This window comes from Homo sapiens, chromosome 16 (genome assembly GCF_000001405.40).
Source record: "Homo sapiens chromosome 16, GRCh38.p14 Primary Assembly".
Classification (NCBI taxonomy): domain Eukaryota; kingdom Metazoa; phylum Chordata; class Mammalia; order Primates; family Hominidae; genus Homo; species Homo sapiens.
Genome location: NC_000016.10, coordinates 54,475,355 through 54,499,136, shown reverse-complemented (window position 1 = coordinate 54,499,136; position 23,782 = coordinate 54,475,355). Strand labels below are relative to the sequence as shown.

Sequence of the window (23,782 nt, the reverse complement as noted above, 5' to 3'; positions counted from 1 at the left end):
CAACCACCAGCCTTTGCCCAGAGGGAAGCTGGCAGTCAAGAAGGAAGACACTTCCTTCCCTAAAATTGCTCCAAGGTCAGGTCCCAGCTGTGTGGAGTGAAGTCTGTGTGGACCGGAAACACCCTTTCGCTCGATGGGGGCAATAAAAGCCCCTCACAGAAGCTGGTTCCAGACCTGTTTCTCCTGCCTGGAAAAAAGATGAACAGTCATAAAACATTTCACAAATGACAAAGTGATAAACTGACAAAAATGTGTTTATTATATATATGCATTTGATGAGACCTTGCACCATCTGAGGATTTATCTGTTAGGAAACATTTCCTAGAGGAATAGAATTCCTTAGGGAGAGTGCGGGAATGAATATTGCAGGTTTCCTGCTCAGTCATCCTACTACCAGGGCCTGCCAGTACAGCAGAACCCAGGATGCAAAGGAGCCCAGCAGGCCACTGGAAAGGTGACCTTAACCCATGCCCACAGAGAATCGCCCACTTTACAGCTACACGGCGGGCATCTGATGGCTTTAATGAATGCAAAAGCATGTAAGCAAGCCAACTGGTCTTCACTCCACTCCTGCCTGCAGAATCCAATGCATACCTCCAGCCTGCACTCTAAGCTGCCGTGACCATTTTCTTCTTTTTCAAAATATGTACTTCAAATTCTTCCTATTTCCTCCAATAACTTCTTGATTCAGTTATCCAAGTGTTCAACATATCAGATCATCTATTGGTTTAATTCTCTCTTTTTTTTTTTCTGGCAACTTTCCTCCTGGAGTCTTCTGCCCTCCTGCTCCAATCTGGGCTGGTTGCCTGTTAGGACTTTCATGTACTAGATTTGTTTCCTGGGTTTCAAGCTCCTTTCTTTGATGAATTACATCCTCTAGTCACTTCCTGAGAAGGGGCCCATTGGAGATAAATTTTCTGTCTATAAGATTCCACCCCAACCCTTGATAGTTTGTCTGGGTATAGAATTCTAGGTTGAAAACTCATTTTCATTCAGTATGTTAAAGATCATATTTCCTCTCTCCTAGTTTTGCTAACAATCATATTTTATTATTCTCTCTAGTCCTTTGCATGTGGCATAATTTCTTATTTTCTCTCATAAAGTTGTGAGGGCATCTATCTTCAACATTCTGAAATACTATGCTGATTTGCCTAAGGTGGGCCTTTTAAATTTCATTGTGCTGAACTCTGGGTTCTTTCAACTTTCATGAAAAAACTCATGCTCTTTAGTCCTAAAAAATTTTCTAATGTTATTTCCTTGATAATTTTTACTCTTTCACTTTGTGTCCTCTCTATTTTTTCTCTCTGTTTTTTCTTTTAGAATGCCCAATAGCCAGAAGTCAGACTTCCCTGTTACAGCTTGTAATTTTTAAATATTTTCTTTCCATCTTTCAGTCTTTTTGTTTCATTAACTGAGAGATCTATTCAACTGTACCTTCTAATCCTTAAATTGCATTTGCTATTTCTGCAACTCTACTTTGAATTTATAGTTTTTAATTGTTTGTTCTTTATGAACCTTAAAAGCAATGGTATCATGTTCTTGTTTCATGGATGCAATACATTTTCATCTCCCTGAAAATACTAATTATAATGTTTTGACTTTTTCTTCTATCCCTTGCATTAACTTGGATACCTTAGAATTTCTTTACTTCTGATTTCTTGTTTGATCTCTGCCTATCTTGTTGAGAATTTTCTTTTAATATCTGTGAATCCTTTGCAGCCAGTTTTTATTTAAGAATGCAACATTTAGTCCAGGCATGGTGGCTCATGCGTGTAATCCCAGCACTTTGGGAGGCCGAGGCAGGCAGATCACCTGAAGTTGGGAATTCGAGACCAGCCTGGCCCACATGGCAAAACCCGATCTCTACTAAAAATACAAAAATTAGCTGGGCGTGGTGGCAGGTGCCTCTAATCCCAGCTACTCGAAGGCTGAGACAAGAGAACCCGGGAGGCGGAGGTTGCAGTGAGCCAGGATCGCACCAGTGAACTCCAGCCTGGGTGACAGAGTGAGACTCCATCTCAAAATAAATAAATAAATAAATAATTAAAAAATAATAATTGACCGGCGGTTCCACGTCCTTGAGAGAGCTTGTTGACTGGTGGGTAATTAGGTGACAAACCAGCTTTTTAATGTGTTCCTGCATATTTTCTCTGGTTCTAGTTTCTCCAGAGAGGAATTCTCAAGTCTTCCACCTCCGATTTATGGGCTATAAGCCTGATGATGCATTCTGGAGACTGGGCAAACAAAGTGCTCTGGGCCATCTTAGTGTACATGTACCTAGGCTTTCACTTATCTATCTATTTTTATTTTTTGCGGCTTATCACCCTGACTCTGCTAACCTGGCCACCTCTTCTCTACTAGCTTTCCATTTTAATGTATTATGGTTAAGCAGATGGCTTCCAGTTCCAGCAGTGATGAAGGCTGCATTTTGGTTTTTTATTGTCCTGAATATTTGGAATTAATTCCCAAGAAGAGAAGGGGAAAGAAAAACACTCCCTTGTCTTAATTCTGGAAAGTCCTATGCTGTGGTTTAATAAATATTTGTCTTCATATTTGATTCATTTTTTTCACTTAACTACATTTATTCATAAAGGAATTTTGATATCACAATGGCAAGTGGAAAATAAAAAAGAAAGTATGAAAATAAAGAACAAATAAAATAACATTATGAATGCTAGCCAGCTATTGGTGCTTGCTGATGGTTCTAGGCTTGAGGTCTGCTCTGTCTATGTTAAAGAGACAGCCGTTAGAAAGATCTTGCTAATCAAAAGACCTACAAACACCACGTTGAGATGTTTTCCCTTTGTTAAACAGACTACAAAAATAACTGAAAATGGGAATAACTGACTCAGTGTGTAATAACTCCAGGTTATTTGGCCCTCTCTTCCTTACCACCTCCCTGTACACCTCTGAGTTAACTAGCTTCTTGTCACTGTTTATGTTTTGGCTCCAATTTCTCCTTCTCAGAGAGGCCTCCCTGACCACTCCTACGAAGGTAGCTCCCAGTCATATCCCACCACCCTGTCTTATTTCATTCATTAGCACTTGTATTGCCATTTCAAATGACCCTGTTTGTTCACTTATTCATGTCTGTCCTTTCCACACCCCTGATAGAATGTAAGTTTCATGACAGCAGGGACTTTGCTCCTAAGCACCCAAATACTCTACACCTAAAACAAAGATTGTTGCATAATAGATGCTCAATAAATACCTAAGAATAGTTAATTTCAGCCTTTTACACATTCCCAGCCCTCCAGGATTACTACTCTCTCTCTCTATTTTTGTCTCCTCTTCTCTCACTCTTCCCCTTTGCCATCAGGTTTCAACCATTAGTCTCACTCCTATGTAAAAAGAAGTAAAGCAAGTCTCAAATGGCAGCTGAAACCACACTGAAATGTGTTGACAGCCTTTGCACCATCTCTCAATGTCTCTCATGAGGGCCACCATCTCATAAGGGCAAGTGCTGGTCAATTACATAGAAATATTCTCCTCTTTAAACAGTAAGAAAAAAGTGATTTAAAGTCCCAAAGGTATTTTTGGCTGACATAAGTATAATCAATTTCTTCACAAGAAAAAATGGACAGAAAATGAATGCCATTAAGAGTTGCATTTTCATGCTGCCAAAACAAACAAACAAAAAATCTCTTCAGAAAAAAACAGCAAACTTACGGTGTGTTTTAGTTTTCCTTCACAGTTTTTATTTTATTTAAATGAATGACTTAACATTGAAAAGTGGAAAGAGATTACATTAAATTTTAGATTTCCAATTATTCTTCTAAAATGAAGTGATCTAACTCTGTCGGGATAGCATTCCCAGATGGAAATCATGGGAGCTGAGTAACATCCACCCCTTAAGGTACCGCATGGGATCGCACATTTGCCCGGTCCTCTCCTGGCCTGCAACACTCATTTATGCTGGCCATTGAAAGACGGAACCATTTCAGAGAAGGTGTTAAGTACTAAGCCTTCCTCCTCTCCATATCCCATACAAGACTGAGTTCAGTAGCAGGCATACATTAGGTGCTCAATAAATAATTATAGAACAATTGGATAAAGTTCCTTGCATTTTCCCACTTCATTACCAATCTGTTGAATCTCATGTATTGTACTTTTATGAAAATTTGAAATTTCTCAGCATGAGGGATTCCCCTTAATCAATCAGGTATCTCCCTAAACTTGTTTACAAAAAATGAAAATTTTTTTAAAAAGAAAAAGGCTTTAACAATTACTGTTTCTAGAACCAGACTGACAAATACTTTGATGCAGAAGTTTTCTTCCACAGCAGTAAGTATTGTATTTCCTTTCTTATAAATAAGTATAAGAATTTTCTTAAAAGGTAAGTGTGCTCACTCATGATCAAATCATGAGATTACTCTGTATCTGGTGGCCAGAGTCTCTCCCAAGCAATGATGTGGGCCAATGATGGTATTTCCATGGTGACTACAGGGATCTCGGGGCTGTGTGTATGCTCTGTGCAAACCAACTCTTCTCTATATGAATAAATAGAAGGTCATACAGGTTTGAAGATGTGGATAAGTAGGAATAACCACAGATGATTACAGAGCTTTAAAAAAATATTAGCCAGAGATAAAGTGGGCTATGATCCTTTTCCAATAGAATAAGTCTCAGCTATTGAGATAGTGTACAAATCTAGTTAATGTAATTTTAAAGAAAAATGACTTGGCAAACATCAGGAAATGTCAGAATGTTCTCTTTATTTTTATTTTTTGAGACCAAGTCTCACTCTTTCGCCCAGGCTGGAGTGCACCAACTCGATCTTGGCTCACTTTAACCTCTGCCTCCTGAGTTCAAGTGATTCTCTTGCCCCAGCCTTCCAAGTAGCTGGGATTACAGGCACCCGCCACCACACCCAGCTAGTTTTTGTATTTTTAGTAGAGAGATGGGGTTTCACCATGTTGGTCAGGCTGGTCTCGAACTCCTGATTTCAGGTCATCCTCCCATTTTGACCTTCCAGAGTGCTGGGATTACAGGCATGAGCCACCACGCCCAGACCCAGAATGTTCTCTTTGACGATGCACCTTTTCTCATGAAGGTGAATTTGTTCACTGTTCTGAAGATTGAGCTGGAATCTGGGAGGCTTGTCTCTACTTTATGACTGGTACATAGAATATAGCACAACAGTTAAACTAATAAGAGCCAATGAAGTTTTGCAAGTGATTGACTCTTGTATATATAAATAAAGCCAAATCAAAGAGATCAATAGAACAGCCTCACTCTCACTCATTTGCCTGTTTGAATGGGAGAGAAGAGGATGTGGTTTATGATACACCAGAATTACACATAATCCAAAGCCCAGTTTATCTTTGCCAAAAAATGTACTGATTGTTTCCAGTGTACTGTTATTCATCCTGATCTATTCCATTACCATAGAGATTAGCTTCTTTGACAAATTTTTTAACGTTAGTCAAAACCTGGGTTCGTGACATTCACGTATATCCCAGCAGAAAACAAAATGTTAAAAACCACTGCTCTTTTTCATAATGGCAGAGCATTTGCCAGTTTTCATTTTTTTTTTTACATTATGCATTATGTTATTATGTCCCTTATGGAAGAATCCCTGCAATAAATTCCTCCAAGAATGTAACGCCAAGAAAAATTTTCCTCTCTAGATAAATGTATGCCTCCTTTTGATCAGATCATAAGGAAGTGAACCACCAAGTTCATCTTCTTGGTCTTTTTACACCATTTACCAGCAAGCTTGAAGTTTCTAATCTAACATCTTTGCGCAGCTAAGTGTAGTGAAATGCCCCTCTAGTGAATGAGCCAGATATGAGAATCTCATTCTCCCTTCTCTGTGACTGCTTTAGGGATAAACATGTGACCCAGTTATGGTGAATGAGTCATAAAGAGAAGCCTGCTGGAGCGCCTGGGAAGAGATTTCTTCCATGAGGGATGAGCAGGGAGAAAATCAGCCCCATCCCCTGCTCCCAAGTCTTCCTTCTTTGGGATGAGGTTTTTGTGGGACTGTTAGGGCTGGAGCTGTGGCAGCCATCTTGGAACTATAATAGGAAGCCAAGACACTTCCAGGGGAGCTAACCCTGGAATCCAGGAACTGCCAAACACCCCCTGGAAACCTCTGGGCTTCTTGCTATGTAGGACAACATATATCCTAAACTTTTAAGCTGTTTATATTCTACTTCTTGTAGTCAAAAATATGTTAACCGTTAGTTACTTTGAATAATGTACATCAAAACACTTCGAAAGGCCGAGCATGGTGGCTCACGCCTGTAATCCCAGCACTTAGGGAGGCTGAGGCGGGAGGATCACCTGAGTTTAGGAGTTTGAGACCAGCCTGGCCAACATGGTGAAACTCTGTTTCTACTAAAAATACAAAAATTAGCCAGGCATGGTGGCACATGCTTGTAGTCCCAGCTACTTGGGAGGCTGAGGCAGGAGAATCACTTGAACCCAGGAGCCAGAGGTTGTAGTGAGCCTAGATGGCACCACTGAACTCCAGCCTGAGTAACAGAGCGAGACTTTGTCTCAAAAAACAAACAAACAAAACACTTTGGAAATCTATAAAAGGATGATAATTACAGTGGTTCCCCTTTATCCCCGGATTTGCTTTCCACAGTTTCAGTTATCTTTGACAAACTCTGGTAGAAAATTATTGCTGTATTTTGCAAGAGAAAGACCACATTCACATAACTTTTATTACAGTAGATTGGTGTTGGGGGAGTATTTTTTATTTTGGGGGATAGGGTCTTGCTCCTCTCTGAAGCTGGAGTGCAGCAATGTGATCTCAGCTTACTGCAGCCTCGACCTCCTGGGCTTTAATGATCCTCTCATCTCAGCCTCCTGAGCCGCTTAATCCACAGGCACGTGCCACCACACTTGCTAATTTTTAAATTTTTTATAGAGACAGAGTCTTGCCATGTTGCCCAGGCTGGTCTCAAACTCCAGGCCCTAAGTGATCTTCCCACTTGGCCTCCCAAGGTGTTGGGATTACAATTGTGAACCATCATGCTTAGCCCAGTATATTGTTATAATTGTTCTATTTTATTATTAGTTATTGTTGTTGATCTCTTACGTGTATAATCTGTAAATTAAACTTTATTACATCTCCCACTCATTTGGGAGATGTAAATAACAAATCAATCAATTAATCAATATCAATAAGAAATATATTTATTAGGCACCAAGTCTCTTTTTTTTATACTGGGTCTTACTCCGTCACCCGGGCTGGAGTACAGCAGCTCAATCATGGCCCACTGCAGCCTCGACCTCTCAGGGTTAAAGTGATCCTCCCATCTCAGCCTCCCCAGCAGTTGCGACTACAGGCATATACCACCATGCTCAGCTAATTTGTAGAGACGAGGTGTCATCATGTTGTGCAGGCTGGGACACCAAGTCTTTTTAAGATTCCTAAATAAATCGGGATTTATTTATTGATTTTAAGAAGGCTCAGCCTGTTTAAATTTGTACCTTTACCATATGAGACACTAACAATTCTTACCGCTCGCTGTGCTTCTACCATTAAAACTTGGCTACCTATTGAGAAGGTCAGGTAGAACCTATGAGAGAGGAAGGGAGAAATTCTGACTTTTTCAATGGGAGAAAGAAAAAAAAAAGAAGGTAGATCAAGTTCACCATTTTCTCATAAGCCCCAAACGATACAACACAAATCTGGGAACTGGTTAAGATCAGCTGGCAGTGAACAAAATGATCACTCTGCTGACATCACAATGATTATTCTTTTGCACAGCTGATGAACCTGCCTGGTATACATGGCTGCTGAGAATGTATCAATTAGCTCAGATACTACTGACTTGACAAGAAACCCTTATCATAAGCAGGATGACAATGTATATTCAAGAAGGTGCTGAGAGAGAAGTTTTTCCATCAGCCTCATCTGAATGAGACATACTTCCCCAAAGAAATGCTTATTTTTCAGCACGTCAACCTCCATCTTGACAGACGAAGAGGCAAAAACTGGAGTCATATTGAGTAGGTCTGAAATTGTCTACTGTGCTAAGATCATGTTCAGTTTGTCATCTACTTTCCTCAAGAAGAATCGCCAGCCATGGAGAAATAGGAAGATAGAGATCAGGGGAAGTTGAGATTCAGAAGCTCTAAGCAAAGGCAATGGGTAAGATCTAGTCCCTTGCCTCTAGAGCAAATGTCAGGGTGGCCCTCGGAGGCTGAGCCAGTCGCAAATGTATGGTCAAGTACCCAAAGGGCTGAAAGGCAAAAAGGAGACCAGTGGCCTCTTCAAATGGTGCTGAGGAAAATATGCACAAGAGCTTGTGCTGACAATGTCGCATAGGCTTCAGAGACTACAAGGGAGAAAAGCAGGTTGCACACTGGGAAGAAGGTTCTGGAAGCAGCTCTTGTCCCGGGCAATAGTGTTGGCATGGGGATGCTCTCCTAGAATGATCTGGTACAATCCAGAGTATGGGTAAAACTTTGCACTGGTGACTAGGAAGGCAACAACGTTCTGGATAGCTCATAGGAAAACACCCGTAAGTGAGTCCAAAAATAGATATTTTCATCTGTTTCTTATTATTGAGGGTCTCTGTCCAGCTATCATGATTTTGTGTGAAGGCCCTTCTTACTCTAGGGTGAAAAGCCACTGCCCCAGCCTGGACCGCTACCCAGCCTTTTGAACAATGCCTACCTCAATCCTTCCAGTTCTTGTCATCTCCAGTAATCAAAAAAGAAGGCTTTGGCCAAGCCACCTTCCACCCCAGGTTGTCCATTGACTGCCCTGGTCATGAGTGTTATGGGTACCATGGGCTACCAGGACCAAGAGTGTTCCAAGTCGCTTCTGTTATCTTCTGCTTAGGTCAAGCAAAGGAACTCCTGTGAGTAATTCATAAAGTACTTATACTCGAAGGTATTGCACAATCTCATTACCATTAATTTTTGCATATTTAACTACAGTTTTTAATTAGATGGTATTTTATTATTCATGCACATAATTTGAGTCCAAGTCAGGCTGCTCTCTTGGAAGAAAGAAAAAAAAAGTGTGGAGGTGGATTCTTCTCAATAGAAAGTTGGTGTTGCCTTTCCTTCTTCACTGGTGAGCGTGGCAGCCTCTAAGTCTATAATGGTTCTCTTTTAATTTTGCTAATAGCTATCATGTTATGTACCTTTATAAATTTGTTAAATCCAGAGTGCTGGGAGTTGTCTCTGTATGCGGTAACTGTAAATAGTTTGTTCTGTTTGGTTTGCACATACAAACTGTTTGCTCAGGCTCCTTGATGTATTATTAAAATGGGTAATGGGCCCCTGGGAAACCATCTAGTTATATGCCTTCATTTGCAGAATAAACCATGCGTTGTTTTCATCTTTACTCATGATTGTTAATGGCACTGATGATGAGATGGGTGGATTTTTTTCTCCACTGCCTTTATCAGCACTGTTTTATTATGCAGGCAAAATGGCCAGGCTGCTGATTTTGTCTAAGGTTTTCAATTAGTCATTTGACTGAACACATCTGTGCTGGCATCCACCCAGAGCTGGACTGCAGCTATTACCGGTTTACACCTGCTGAACCATGGCCATAAACGCGGATGGGAATAAACCTAAATTGGCCTTTTAGATATGGTTGAAAAGTTGTAATGTTGCAGTGTTTTATAGCAGTGTCAGGAAGGTGTGAACTTTTCCACCTTAAGGCCTAAGAACCTGCCATGATATTCCACTTCACTCAAATGACTCACTTATAGGTTGGTTATTAATATCTGTTTACCATTTTGCAGCCCCGATGACTTAATCGGCTGACGTTAAGTAGATAAGATTATATTTGTACTGCAGCAGGGAATGGTCGAGGTTTAATTGTGTTGGTAAACAGAGCACAGTGGCTGCCTTGGAATCTCTGCAGATGTCTCAGAATTATTCAGCAGCAATTTGGAACGTGACTCCTACATCTTTCACTGAAATGAAAATTGCTTCATGGCAGGGCAGAAGCCTTGGTGCTGGAACTGGAGGTGCAGTATTACCTTAATACCCCAAAGAATCTGTCACTTATCTTGGAGGAAGAAGACTAGGCAAATTTCTGCAAGAGGAACTGCGATCTCCTCCATGCCAGGTGCTCATGTTTCCTGAGAGAGATTGCTCATTGCTAAATATCAAGAAATCCCCTTTGCTAGTCCTCAGGAACCCCAGGAGGCAGTAGGCAAGGCTGCAAGTAAGCAGGTCACTGAGAAAGAACTTGCATTTGGATAGTGGAATTCAGGGATGTTTTCGAAAGCAGCAAGATTTCTGTTGGATCCAAGGGATTCACTGGGGACTGAAATAAAAACATTTCTCTCACTGTGGGAAAATCCTGAACAACATTTCAGACTCTTAGGATGACAAAATGTATTGGCATTGCAGCCAGAATGGAGGTGTTTGCCACGATAGCCTCTCTGCCCCCCAGGGATTAAACTTTTGTTAGTTTCACCACGGTCATGTGAATGTATATGGCCACCATATTCGCCCCTCATAAACATCAGTGCCTCCATGTTGAACCCTTAAAATCTCGTTTTTGTAGAAAGGCTCCCCATCTCCCCTTTTTTAGATGCCACCACTGATTATTTTCTTACTCTAGTTTGTGAGTAAGGATCAAATCTTTGCCTGGGTTTGTAACAGCCTAGATCATTTCTCTGAACTTTGTTCTCTGTCATTGTTTGCTTGTTGTTACTTTTTCAGTTACTATCTGACATGCATCCAAGCCATAGCTAATCATCATCATCATCATCACCATCACCTTATCCTATCTCACATTTATTGAGATTATTTAGCAATACTATGCAACAAACACCATGAAACATACACCATTCTAGATTTGCTTGCACTGATACCTTTAAACTTTATAACAATAGTTATACCTATGAACAAGATATTAATATTGTCACTTCTAATTTGTAAATGAGGAAACTAACGCACAAAGAGGCCTAGAAAATTGCCCATGATCACACTGTGAGCAAAAGAAGGAGCCAAGATTCGTGGCAGGCAATGGAAGCCAGAACTCTTGGTTCTGACCGGTAGCCAACACAGTCTCTCAGAGTTAGAGTTTCTCAAGCCATGGGTTTGGCACAGCAAGCTGAGATCTGGCTAGAAGGGTTCCATGGATTGAAACCTTTTTTTTTTTTAAACCATCCCTTTTTATTGGTGGATATTTAGGCTGTTTCCAGTCTTTTCAATATTTTAATAAATATGCTTTTACCTCTCTCTGTGGGCACACACAGACATATTTAAACGTGATTTTGGACAATCGTAGGGCACACACACACTTGAAATTTTTCTAGATATTGCCAAATTGCCCTCCAAGATCACTGAACACATTTATATGGCATATGGGAATAGCTCTTTCCTCACATCTTTGACAACATTTTGATACCATCAAATTCTTTAAGCTTTGCCAATCCAAATGCACTTTTCAAAGTGAGGATTTTCAGCTGTTCGTAAAATTAAACCCTTGAACTTGTCATTGTGAAATTAAGCCTTTCTCTTAGCCCCACATTCTCACTCCCACCTCAGCACCCAAGAAAATAAAGATGCCCTAGGTCCTTTAAAATATAAGTCAAGAGCTGGGCACGTTGGCTCATCCTTATAATCCCACCACTTTGGGAGGCTGAGGCTGGAGGATTGCTTGAGCCCAGGAGCTCGAGATAAACCTGAGCAGCATAGCAAGAAACACTGTATCTACAAATTTTTTTTTTAAATTAGCTGGGTATGGTGGCAAATGCCTGTGATCCCAGCTACTTGGGAGGCTGAGGCGAGAGAATTGCTTGAGCCCAGGAGTCCATGTTACGGTGACCTATGATTTGTTGAACCACTGAACTCCAGCCTAGGTGACACAGCAAGACGCTGTCTCTTAGTTAAAAAAAAAAAAAAAAATTCCAAACAATGGTTCTTTTCTCCTTTGGTTGTATGGATCCACTTCCAGAATAACTAGTTTTACAACAGCATTTTGCAGCCTCAAAACTGCAGCAATAGCACATTGAGTTGGGAAGTAGTATAACGGATAAATGTGAAGGCTCTGAAGTTAGACTCTCTGAGTTCAAAAAGCAGGCTCACCTTTTTAGCTGCAAGGCCTTGGTAACTAATCCTTACTGCATCTCAATGTCCTCACCTGTAAAATGGGAATACCCATATAACATCGGTCTCATAAAGTTGATGCAAAGACTAATGATTAAATTAAGTAGGCATAACACTTAGAAAAGTGCCTGGCTTATAATAAATGCCTTGTACATTTTGTTCACCATAAACTTTACAACAACTGGACCAATAAGTTAGTGAATACGTTTCTGCCTCTTGCTTAAGATTTTTTGCAAAAGCACCTTTTAAAGATTGTAGTATCTGAAATAGCAGGAACCATTACAGCTGCCGAACCCAATCTTTTTCAATAACCATGAGTGACTTGAGTGCAAGGGTTATTCCAATCCCCAGTGCCTACTCAGGGTTTGATACATAGCAAGTGCTCAGTAAATGATAGCCAGATAGAGGGACAAACATACATGTCATGCATGGCTCATTGGCCTCAGCAGGCAAACTTTGCATTTGTCCAAGTGCAAATAACCAGTCCCCAGTCTCAGCTCACTGGATCAGAATTACCTGGATGGAGGCCTGGAATCTGCATTTTGAATACTTTCCCTGGTCATTTTTGGCCTTGGGTGTGAGACTGTAGATAATTCTGGCTCTAGAGAAAATTATTTCTAGTACTTGGCATAGTTCCTTACATGTAGTATTCAATAAATATTGTTGGTTGAATAAATTAAGCATCTCAGGTGTTAGTTATAGGATTTTCACACTCACATGGTCCCAAGAGATGGAGGCTCATCTGACACTCTCAGCCACAGTTCACATAGTGTGGCTCTCAGAGCCTACATTCTGATGCCACACTGGGCTCCCAAGAGGAGGAGACAGAGGCCCCCTGTGGTGATGTCCCATCTACTGCTCCTCCAGGGAGCCTCAGGGCACCTGCTGTCACCCTGGGACCTGCTTTCATCCTGAAAACACCTGGGACCTCCAAATTTCACAGACATCATTAAGCAGGCTAGAGGAAAATAGTCTACAGTCCAAGGTCAAGCTCACCTCAGCAGCCACTCTACTTGGCCTCATCAGACCTCTTAAGCTTGCAGGCTATGGCCTGCCTGGGACTCAGGATCTGGTGGCTCCTCCTGCCTTTCTGAAGTCCCATCTGTGACAGTCAGTTTCTCCCTGGACTGCAGGGCTCCTGGTCAGTGGCTTGATTTTCACCATCGCCTTTAATCCTGCCCTTCCTGCTGTCATCCCACTTGCACCCACTCCTACCTCCCTCCAAACCCTGCCTTAGCTGGAGAGTACTGAGCTCCCAAGAACTGAGTGCCAGTGTAGGTCACTCTAATAAAAGCACTCAATACACATTTGGAAATGAAAAAATAGAAGGTAGGGTTGCTAAGCTGTATTCATTTGTTTAATCTCAGTTTTGCTTTATATTTTCATTTTTATTGATTTATTGATTTTTTTTTAGAGACAGGGTTTCTCTGTCTGGTCTAGGCTGGAGTGCAGTGGTGCCATCATCCCTCATTGCAGCCTTGAACTCCTGGGCTCAAGCAATCCTCCCTCCTCAGCCTCTTGAGTAGCTGGGATTACAGGTGTGTGCCATCACACCCAGCTAATTTTTAAATTTATCTTTACTTTTGTAGAGATGGGGGAGTCTCACCATGTTGCCCAGGTTGGTCTCGAACTCCTGGCCTCAAGGAATCCTCCTGCCTTAGTCTCCCAAAGTGCTAGGACTACAGGTGTGAGCCACCCTGTTTTATAACCATTATTTCCACGGTTGGAAAAAGCAGTCATCTCTTGAAGTTGCTTTTAAAATATTGAGGATTTCTGGACTGTGTTCAAATGAATATCAAATGGCTGTTTGTCATGACAACTGATGCTTGAAGAGCCCTTTTTAGTGGAGCAATGAGCTTTGTAGGCATATTAACTCACTGTATCTTCACGACGGCCTCACCGGCTGATACTAATACCATATCCATTCTACAGACGAGGAAACTAAGCCAGAGAACGATGAAATAAATTGCTTAGGTTTAAATAGCTCATACAGGCAGAGTCTAGATTTGAACCCAGAACATATGGCATCACACACTACAGTTATGGAAGGCCCTGACGACTGGCTCACTCACATGCTTTTCATTCCCTTCTTTACAAGGTAAATGCGTCTTAATCAGCAGACACAGAAACAGGGATGTCCTTGCTGGAAGGGAGGTCAGACTGGTTGGACTGGCCAGGGTTGAAAAATTCCCCGGCCAGTCCCCACACTGCTGGCTGGTGACGGCAGGGGACATTGTGGAGAGGTAATTTCAGGCTTCCTCCAGGCTCAATCTGCGCCTTGGCTCTTCACAAGGCCTCCAACACTGAGATAGTCACCTGCTCCGCTCAGGCCCCAAATTGGCTGCGCATGCCTGGGTCCAGCGAGCCTCCTTCCCTCCGTGTGGTAGTGGGAATGTACATGTACATCGCCAGCAGATGAAAGCCAGGGGCCCAACAAAGGGAAAATGAAATTTCCCTTGAGCTGTTTGCCCTGGCTGACTAACCCAAACCTTCCTTCTCAGGATGAAGAGCAGCTCTGATGTTCTGATGTTGAAAGCATCAAAGGCTGATCCCCTCACCTGAGCAGTGACACACAGTCGCTTGGCAGCCAGGCTTCCAGAGCTCCCACCCCCACCATTCAAAGCCCAGACCCTCTGAATCGACCCTGCGTTATTAGTGGCCAATATCCCACTCGCTAGACAGTGGCTACCTGGGCTATTCCTTAGCTTGCATTTATCCCTCTTCCTCCCTGCCTGTCTACCAAGCCACCCTCTGACCCCTACACCTCTGACAGGGACACAGACTTGTCCTTTCCTAAGCCCCTGTCTGCACCAGCTGCAAAGTTCAAAGCCTGTGGAAGACGAGTCTCAAGAAATACACATCACATCCATTTCCAGAAGGCTGGAAAACATGGTTTCCAGAAAATATTTTTTTCAGCAGCTTCATCTATTTTTTTTTTTGATTGCAAAAGTGATCTGTGCTCACTGTTGACATTTCAACAACTCAGAAGGATATAAAGGAGAAAGTAGAGATTGCTACAGAGCCATTTTTGGAGAGATTCCCTCAGTTAATATTCTGCTGGTGAACGTATGCCTAGATATCCAAGTAGCTTAACACTCCACCTCGCTTGGACCCCACTCTGAATGTGGCCCTGTCACCTGCTCTCCCCTCTCCAGGGGGATCGTGGTCACCTTTCCCACTTAGAGACTTCTTAAAGCATCTCTCTGAATTAAACATAAATTCTGAACCTCTTCCAAATGCTTTCCTTAAAACACAAGTGCTACACATGGGTGACAGTACAGTGTTTGATTCAAACTCTGCTTTTAAGCTAAATTGAACACTAAAAAGATGGCTGGGAACCAATTTCGGACAGCCACAGGCAGCTTTGGGAGATAAGAACCTTTCTTTGCGATTTGGATAAAGCAAAACCATGATCTCTCTGCCTCCTTTGTTTTTAGAAATTAATAGAGCTTTTCCAACAGACCGCCCCTTGCCACTAATAGTGAACAGTCAAATCATGGCTTTTATTCCCAGCTCACTACGTCAAGTAAATAGAAGCTTACAGGATAGACCAGGGAACGATAAGCAATTCTCACTGCAGCGAATTCTTAATATATAAATTCATCCAGCAGCAGTTTAGTATCTACTGGCAAAACCAGAAACAATGGGGAACAGGCAGGCCTGGCTCTGACGAGGTCAACCATCAAGGTTATCTATATTCAATTACTGGTATCTACAAACTTGCATAGCTGTCAGCTGGTCAGGGCCCAAATGAAAACTCACCATGCACTCAGAAAGCAAATATAGTTTCCGAGGAGAGCCTCAAATTAGCTCTGTGAATGACTTGACTTCAAACGCACACACAAGCCATCAGCCTTTGGGGACGTTTCTGCCAGCAGTGCCTCAATGTCTAAATTTGGGCATCATCTTATAAATCTCTGTTCCTGAAGTAGGAAAGGACTGGAATTGCTCCTTAACCCTTGGCGATGATAAATTATATCACTTAACAATAGATAAACTTAAGACACTTTTCCTGTACTGCGGACCTATTGTGAGGTAACTGCTAATCTCTGGCATCTCTTCTCTGTGGTCGGTACCACTAAAGACCTGTCGGTGGTGAAGAGACACAATAATTTGTTTTCTAACTCCTCCTCCGGAACCATATATCATGTGTGGAAACAAAGCTTCCCAACAACAGATATGTATCTGTTTCCTTTATCTGAGTTGCCCTTCCCATCAGGGGCAACTCAGAGAGGACATGTTTTCAGTGTGACACTTCCCTGCCCCAGAAAGGGGGAACATTTCCTTCCCAGGCCCCACTGGAAGTGGGGTAAAGGTTTGGGTCTCCAGGAGGAAAGACGGCAGGCCTGCCAGAAAGGAGGGCCTTCTGTTCATTGCCACATCCCCCAAAGGCTTAAATCACACCCCCATTCTTCCTGGCAGGTGCCTTTCAACCCAGGACCTTTTGGGGGGCCCAATGGAGATTTACTGACTGCATAAGTCAGGGTTAATCAATGCCAAGGTAATTTCTAGATTAGCTTGGGGAGGCCATAAATTGTGGACCTGTTAAGAGCTAGATGTCTTTGATTTTCTCCTTGGGTCGGAAGTAGCTGAATTGTTACTCTCTCCTCATCCATTCCTTGCTTCCTCTAATATCTGTCACCTTCATGAACTTGATAATAATCCCCTTTCCAGGACCCCCCTTCCAATTCTGTCTCTTGAGGCTAGTATGCCAGCCATGGGCTCACATAGTCTATTTGAGCCACGAAATGAAAGACTGTACATTCATCAATGCAATCTGTTTAGATTAGTTAGATCAGGCTTCAGGACAGAGGTAAAACCAAGAGTATCTTCACAAGAAACCGTTTGACATGAGTTCATATGCGGAGGGAAAGGCACATGGAGCAAGGTCAGTCCTGACTTTCAACCAGGCCAGGACATGCTCCCACCTCCAATCTGGGCCCCTGGGTCCACCCAGACAGAGCCGTCATATGTCCAGCTGTGCAGGTTGTGCACTGCACACGAGGCCATATTTAAGGGGTGCCATTCACATCATAGCTTTTGTAGATTTCTATATTTATTATGACAACTTTCTGGACAATGACAATAATGTGTTTTAATAAAATCAGCTGGGCACGGTGGCTCACACCCATAATCCCAGCACTTTGGGAGGCCGAGGCGGGCAGACCACTTGAGGTCAGGAGTTTGAAACCAGCCTGGCCAACATGGTGAAAACTGCTTTTACTAAAAATTCAAAAAATTAGCCGGGCGTGGAGGAATGCGCCTGTAGTCCCAGTTACTTGGGAGGCTGAGGCAGGAGAATCGCTTGAACCCAGGAGGTGGAGGTTGCAGTGAGCCGAGATCGGGCCACTGCACTCCAACCTGGGTGACAGAACAAGACTCAGTCTCAAAAAAAAAAAAATCAGTATAGACACTTTTCTGACAGATGGAACTAAAATATCTTGAGACTGGGAACATTTTCTAATCAACACAAAGCCACCATGGAGGCTAGGGCAGTCCCGCACCAAGGAACCCACTTCTTATCCCTAAAGTCAACTGGTCACTTTTACTAGATCCCCTCCTACATGTCGGGGAGAAAGGTTATTGTAATGAGATGATCTATTCGTGAGTCTGTCTCCTCCTTTGGGATCTCCTTGTCCTTGTTTGTATTCCCAGCATAGAGCCTGGCTCGTGAAAGTGCCTGATCCATGTTTGTTGAATGAATGAATGAATGAATGAATGAATAAAATTCTATATCCTTCAACCCCTACTACAGTGCCTACCACATAGCGGGTTAAACGCGAATGTTCTGATGAATCAAACGAATTCAACCTATGGTGCGGAAACCTCTCTATTCATCAAATAGAGCACACGGACTATTAAAATGTGGGAGCATGGACTGAGCAACGTGGCTTATGCCTGTAATGCCAGCACTGTGGGAGAACGAGGCAGGCAGGGGTCAGGAGTTTGAGACCACCTTGGCCAACATGGTGAAACCCCGTTTCTACTAAAAATACAAAAAACATTAGCCGGGTGTGGTGGTGAGTGCCACCACGCCAGCTAATTTTTTTTTTTTTTGTATTTTTAGTAGAGACAGGATTTCACTATGTTGGCCAGGTGGGTCTCCTGAAGCAGGAGAATCACTTGAACCCGGGAGGCAGAGGTCGCAGTGGGCAGAGATTGTGCCATTGCACTCCAGCCTGGGTGACAGAGTGAGACTCCATCTCCAAAAAAAAAAAAATGTAGGAGCATGACAATTTTTCTCATACAACCTGAAGCTAAGAGCTTGTCCAAAAAACATGTTTCGCTCCAGGCCTCAGGGGTCAGTGGGGAAGGAGGAAACGGCTGAGGCCAAGGTGAGGAGGACGCCTTTTGGCACACATGGTGGTGATAGACTATGGGAAGACATTTCCTGTTCTTGTCTTAGGATTCTGGCATCTGTTTTCTTAAAGTGTTGGAAGTGCTAAGAGAGCTTAAATGACATACTTCACAAGTGGCAGACTCAGCCTCTCAGCTAGAACTCCATGTTGGGGGGGTCTCTGACAGCCAGCAAGCGATTCCCAGCAAGGGCAAACAATTCTGATGCCTCCTACTACTCCTGTCTGGGAAGTCCCAAGTCCTGTGACCACCTGGCACTTTCTTTCCCTTTGAATTTCCTTGGAAACCCCCAGAGCATACCACCGCATTTCTGCTGAGGTTGGGAATATGTGTGATTGTGGCAAAGAAGTCAGACCTAGAATCTGAATAATGGGACGACGTCAAGCCCTAATTACTCTAGCATTAGTTCTTTACCTGGTGATTGCTAAACTAATGATTGTTCATTGGCAAAATTAATCCATAGGAGAACGGAAAAATGTAAAGAAGAAAACTGCTTGTAATCCCACCTTGCCCCTACCAGAGATTAACATGCTATTGAATTGGTCTGTGTCCCCCAAGACTGTTTCTGTGCTATTTGTCTATAGACCCCTCTGTTCACCGATGCATTTCCCATCAAAACAGGAAAAAAAATGTCCCTACAATATTGCTGTTTTTGTAACTTCATTTTACATTTAATAACATATTGCAAACAATTTTCTTATCAATAAATATATTTTTAGCTTACCTTTCAAAATACCCGGAAAGTACGTAGTTATACGGATGAACAGAAATGCATTTAACCAATTCCTGATTTTGATGGGCATTTACCTTATTTCCCTTTTTTGTGGTTATTATACACAGTGTTGTGCTAAAATTCTTTCTATGCATGTTTTTGAGCATTTGTCATTTGTGGAATTAACTTTGAATAGGAAAAAAATAAAATCTGCCTTCAGGCCCAATATATGTAAAAGCCTCATTTATATACACACATAAACACACACACACATGACTATTTAATCAAAGCACATGTATTAAGCCCCCTACCAGGTACTAGGCACTGTGGTGAGGGTATGCTGGTAGGGTAGACATGAATCTTGCCTCGAAGAACTCATCATCTAGTTGGGATAATGGTATTTCTGATGAATGAAAGATTTTTACAAACATCTTAGCCATAGGACTAAAGAATCTAGAGAAAATAAGGAAGGGAGGGAAGATGGAAGAGAATGAGGGAAGGTCAAAGCCCATAACCTCCCTTGAAGTAGGAAAGGAGCATCTTAAAAAAGCTAAGAATTCATAATATTTCATCAAAGACATAGTACAATGCCTTTTATATACTGAATGTCTGCTGTGTGCTACTTTACAGCTTTAACTCATTCAAAACTCACCACCATCCTCTGAGTCAGGTGGTAATTAACCAATGAGGAGGACTCTAGGACAGTGCAGTAGCTCAAACCCATGACTGTCAAGCCCCAAAGCCTACTTCTTCCTCACTGGTTGCAGGGTGGTGGTGGTGGTGGTGGTGGTAGTGTGAATGCCATTGGTATTAGTGGTGATGATGGTGATAAATGGTGGTGGCAATGGTGGTGGTTGTGGATGTGGCGATACTAGTGGTGCTAGTGGAAGCAATGGTGTAGTATTGGTAATAGCAGTGGTGGAGGTAGTGGTTAATGATATCTGCGTTGATGTTGGCATCATTGGTAAGGTTGGTGGCAGTGATGGCCATGGTGATGGTAGGGGCAATGGTGGTCTTATAGCAGTGGTGATGGTGGTGCCATGATTCCCGATGGTGGTAGTGGTCATGTTAATGCTGCTGGAGCTGCAGGTGTTGGTAATGGTGGTCACAGTGGTAGTGGTGATGGTGGTGATGGCAATAATAAGAGTATGGAGGAGAGTGGAGGCAAGGAGTGAATAAAATGCAAGGTTTAGCCCTACCAGAGGCATACCAGGAAATTGCTGGGAAATACAAGTGTTTGAACCATGGAAGCCACTGGGACCCTTCCAGCATAAGCTGCAGTTCTAAATAATGATTAGGACCAGGGAAAAGCCAGAGGAAAGCCGGAGAAAATCACACTGGCTCTGGGGCTCTTGCTGTCAACATCTTTGTTGATTGCTCTCTCTCCACTCTAAAGAAGAGCCACCTCACCTTCTGCCCCACCCAATAAAACGGCTCGGTAAATATAATTACTTGCACCATCTAATCAATAGTGGATTGCTCCTGGCCCCTGCTTGTTCAATATCAGTTTCTGGGATCACAGAATCTTGATACTACCCTCAAGATGTCAATTTCTGCTTAATGTTAGATAAACCACATCTATCAACCCCATCCATTAATGATGATTTTATTGTATCATTAATAATACACATCTTAAAAATATGTTTTCGACTAATATAACATGAAACATGAGGTTGAAAATATTCTACACTTCCCAGTCATATAACTCCAAATTGCCAATTGAACAATTCAAATCAATGTTGTATTAAGCAATCTCAGAAAGTGATTATGGAATTTGAGAGACAACCAATGGGTAGGCAAAAAGAAACTCTTTTTCCATTGATTTTTCTGAGAAAGAGAGAATTAAAAAGCAGTCTCCATCCATATTAAGAGGCCAGTTAGCGGAACTTAACTTGTAGCATTTATCACCCCCAAAATAGGTTACTGCTTTGCCCTGAGTTTGGGTCACAAGTTCCCATGGAGCACAGAGCTCTGAGGTCTTTTCCACTCTCTAACATATGAAAACCAGAGCTCGGAAACACCGTGCTCATTAGAAACACATTGCCAATACCATGTGGCCAGGACGCCTGCTGCTGGGGTTCATCTGTGCACACAATAAACACTGGGTAAGCAGCCCGATGCTGAGAGGATCTTTCTCCACGTCAAATCCCAGGACAGAAAACCCCAGGGATGTCAAACTACATCAGAAAACAAAAACAGCTGCAAGGAAACTCAGACGACAAAGAGAGGTGCATTCAAGTAATTAACAGGCCCAAATGTTCTTGATCTGGAACATCACATTTTAAAAAACTGCCCCACTGTTCTGTTCATCCTATAAAGAAGTTGGCTCTATCGCCTTCATTTTTTTGTTAGAGATACTCTTTCATTTTGGAGTAAGCCGATAGTTAGTTCCCTCTCTCAGAGTTTATGGCTCTTAAACGAACAGGAGAATCTGCAGGAGCAAGAGGTTGTCTGTAAATATCTTGTTAGTAATTCACCCGAACTTTCTACTACATAGTTCTCCAATTTTTTCTTTAGTAGCATAATAAACAGCAAGTTTCTTCAGCAGAGGAAAGCTGTAATTTGGGATGCCACCCTTACAGAAAGAGAAGGAGCATCTCTTCTGAGCTGGCATGAAGGTATTCAGGTTCTCACTGGTGGATCACTTGTACCCTGGCTGGCCATGCCTGTGTGTCCTGATGCTTGGGGCTGGGTGTTCAGCCCTGTGAGTGCTTGTATGCAGGTAAGGGTCTAGGGGAGTGTACGCATGCACTTATACACACTGAAGACTCCTGGATCCTTAAGTTAAACCTGCTCCACTTTATACACAGTTGTGTGATATGGTTTGGCTCTGTGTCCCCACCCAAATCTCATCTTGAATTATAATCCCCACGTGTCAAGGAGGGGACCTGAGGGGAGGTGATTGGATCATGAGAGTGGTTGCCCCCATGCTGTTCTCCTGATAGTGAGTAAGTTCTCACGAGATCTGATGGTTTTATAGGTTGCAGTTTCCTCTCTCTCACTCTCTCCTGCTGCCATGTAAGACGTGCCTGCTTCCCCTTCTGCCATGATTGTAAGATTCCTGAGGCCTCCCCAGCCATGCGGAACTGTGAGTCAATTAAACCTCCTTTCTTTATAAACTACTCAGTCTCGGGTATTTATTTATAGCAATATGAGAACAGACTAATACATGTGGATGGACACATGGCTTTCCATCTCAAGGACTGTGACACTGGGCATGGCACATGACTGCATCTTCCATCATTCCTCTATTCAGTCTCAGATAGAAACAGTGGTTATTTCTATACAGAAACATCAAAGAAATCAACAAGCTGCTCAACTTCACCAAACAGGCCTCTCTTTATGTGGGCAAAGCCTGGATCTACCACTTTCTCATTCTCCCTCTCTCTCTCTTTCACCCCCCCTCCCTCTGTCTCCCCTCTCTTTCTCTCAAAAACAAAATTAATGAAAAAAATACTTTATCCTTACCTCCTAATTGGTTTTTTCTCAAATTTCATGATCACTGTCTGAGATTGCTTAATATAACATTGATTTGGGTCTAAAGGCCCATCTAAGTTTGAATTGCTGTGATTCAAGAACTTTCTTTTCTTTCTTTCTTTCCTTTTTTTCTGACATATAAGTATTCCATTTTTAAAATTCCCCAAACAAAGTGTGGAGCCACCCTCTACCTCCTTCTCCTGAGTGTGTGTGGCTTTCTTGATCATTTTTCAAAATCTTTTTCTACGATGTCATTAGACCCTAGAAATAACATTGGCAGCCTTGTAGATACAGCTTCAAACAAGGGCCCTCCTTCCAAAGCCGTGGCAGAAGGTGAATAGCTTGTGTAAGCTGCTGCCTTAGTGAAACAAAGGGAAGATGCAAGGTCATGCGTTTGTATTTATATTTACATGAAGGAACTGTGCAGGGTATGTGATAATTGGGCAGGGAACTGGAGTGAGGCTTCTCACTTAATACTTTATATTGTTGAATTATTGAGCTATGTGAACATGTTATCATTTGAAAACTGAAAATACAGTAAGTTTAGAAAGAAAAACAAGAAACCATTGACTTGGGCTGTTCAACTGGCCTTTGGGAGTGGTATGATGGTGATGTACAGAGTATTTTCTGTCAAAAACTGGCAAAATTTTAAAACAAGGGTCAATATATTTGGCATGGTCTGCTGAACTCATCAATTAGCTAGGGCACTCTTCTGCTTCACAGTGACAGTTGACTTGGAGCTCTACAAACACAATCTGAGAGAAACCCTAACGTAGGGTCACCTAGGACAATGTGTTTCTAAGTAAGGAGGCCGGTGGGAGGGGGAAGGGTGTGAGCTAAGGAACCCACAGTAGAAATAGCATGCAGGAAAGAAAATTTGGGAAACTGAGGCAAGGCACTTAGGAGAGGCTTTCAAGTGGTGTCCATTTTCCTGTTATCCTCAAGTATGATAAGCTATTTCAAGAAGCTGGTTTTAATAATGAATACTCTCTTCCCACAAAAAGCCAAAGTGGTCGTTTCCATCCTGCAGGGCAGTGTAGGCCACTGTCACAGGTCTCCAGGAGGGGTGCTTGCCAAGGGCATAATTTAGCTGAAATTAAGGATCAATCTGAACTCCAGCTGCAGACCAAGCAGCCGTTAAAGAAAGGCAGCTGTTCCCTCTGCTCTTTCATTTTCCTTGTTTTTGTCCGC

The 23,782-nt window shown here is 42.4% G+C and overlaps 1 annotated feature.

The window, feature by feature from the left end:
- Positions 9,788 to 9,991: a silencer, noted in NCBI's record as "fragment chr16:54523058-54523261 (GRCh37/hg19 assembly coordinates)". NCBI's record gives its function as "represses an EF-1alpha promoter that drives an FKBP-Casp9 reporter gene in an ReSE screen in K562 erythroleukemia cells {active_cell/tissue: K562}" and the evidence as "EXISTENCE:reporter gene assay evidence [ECO:0000049][PMID:32094911]".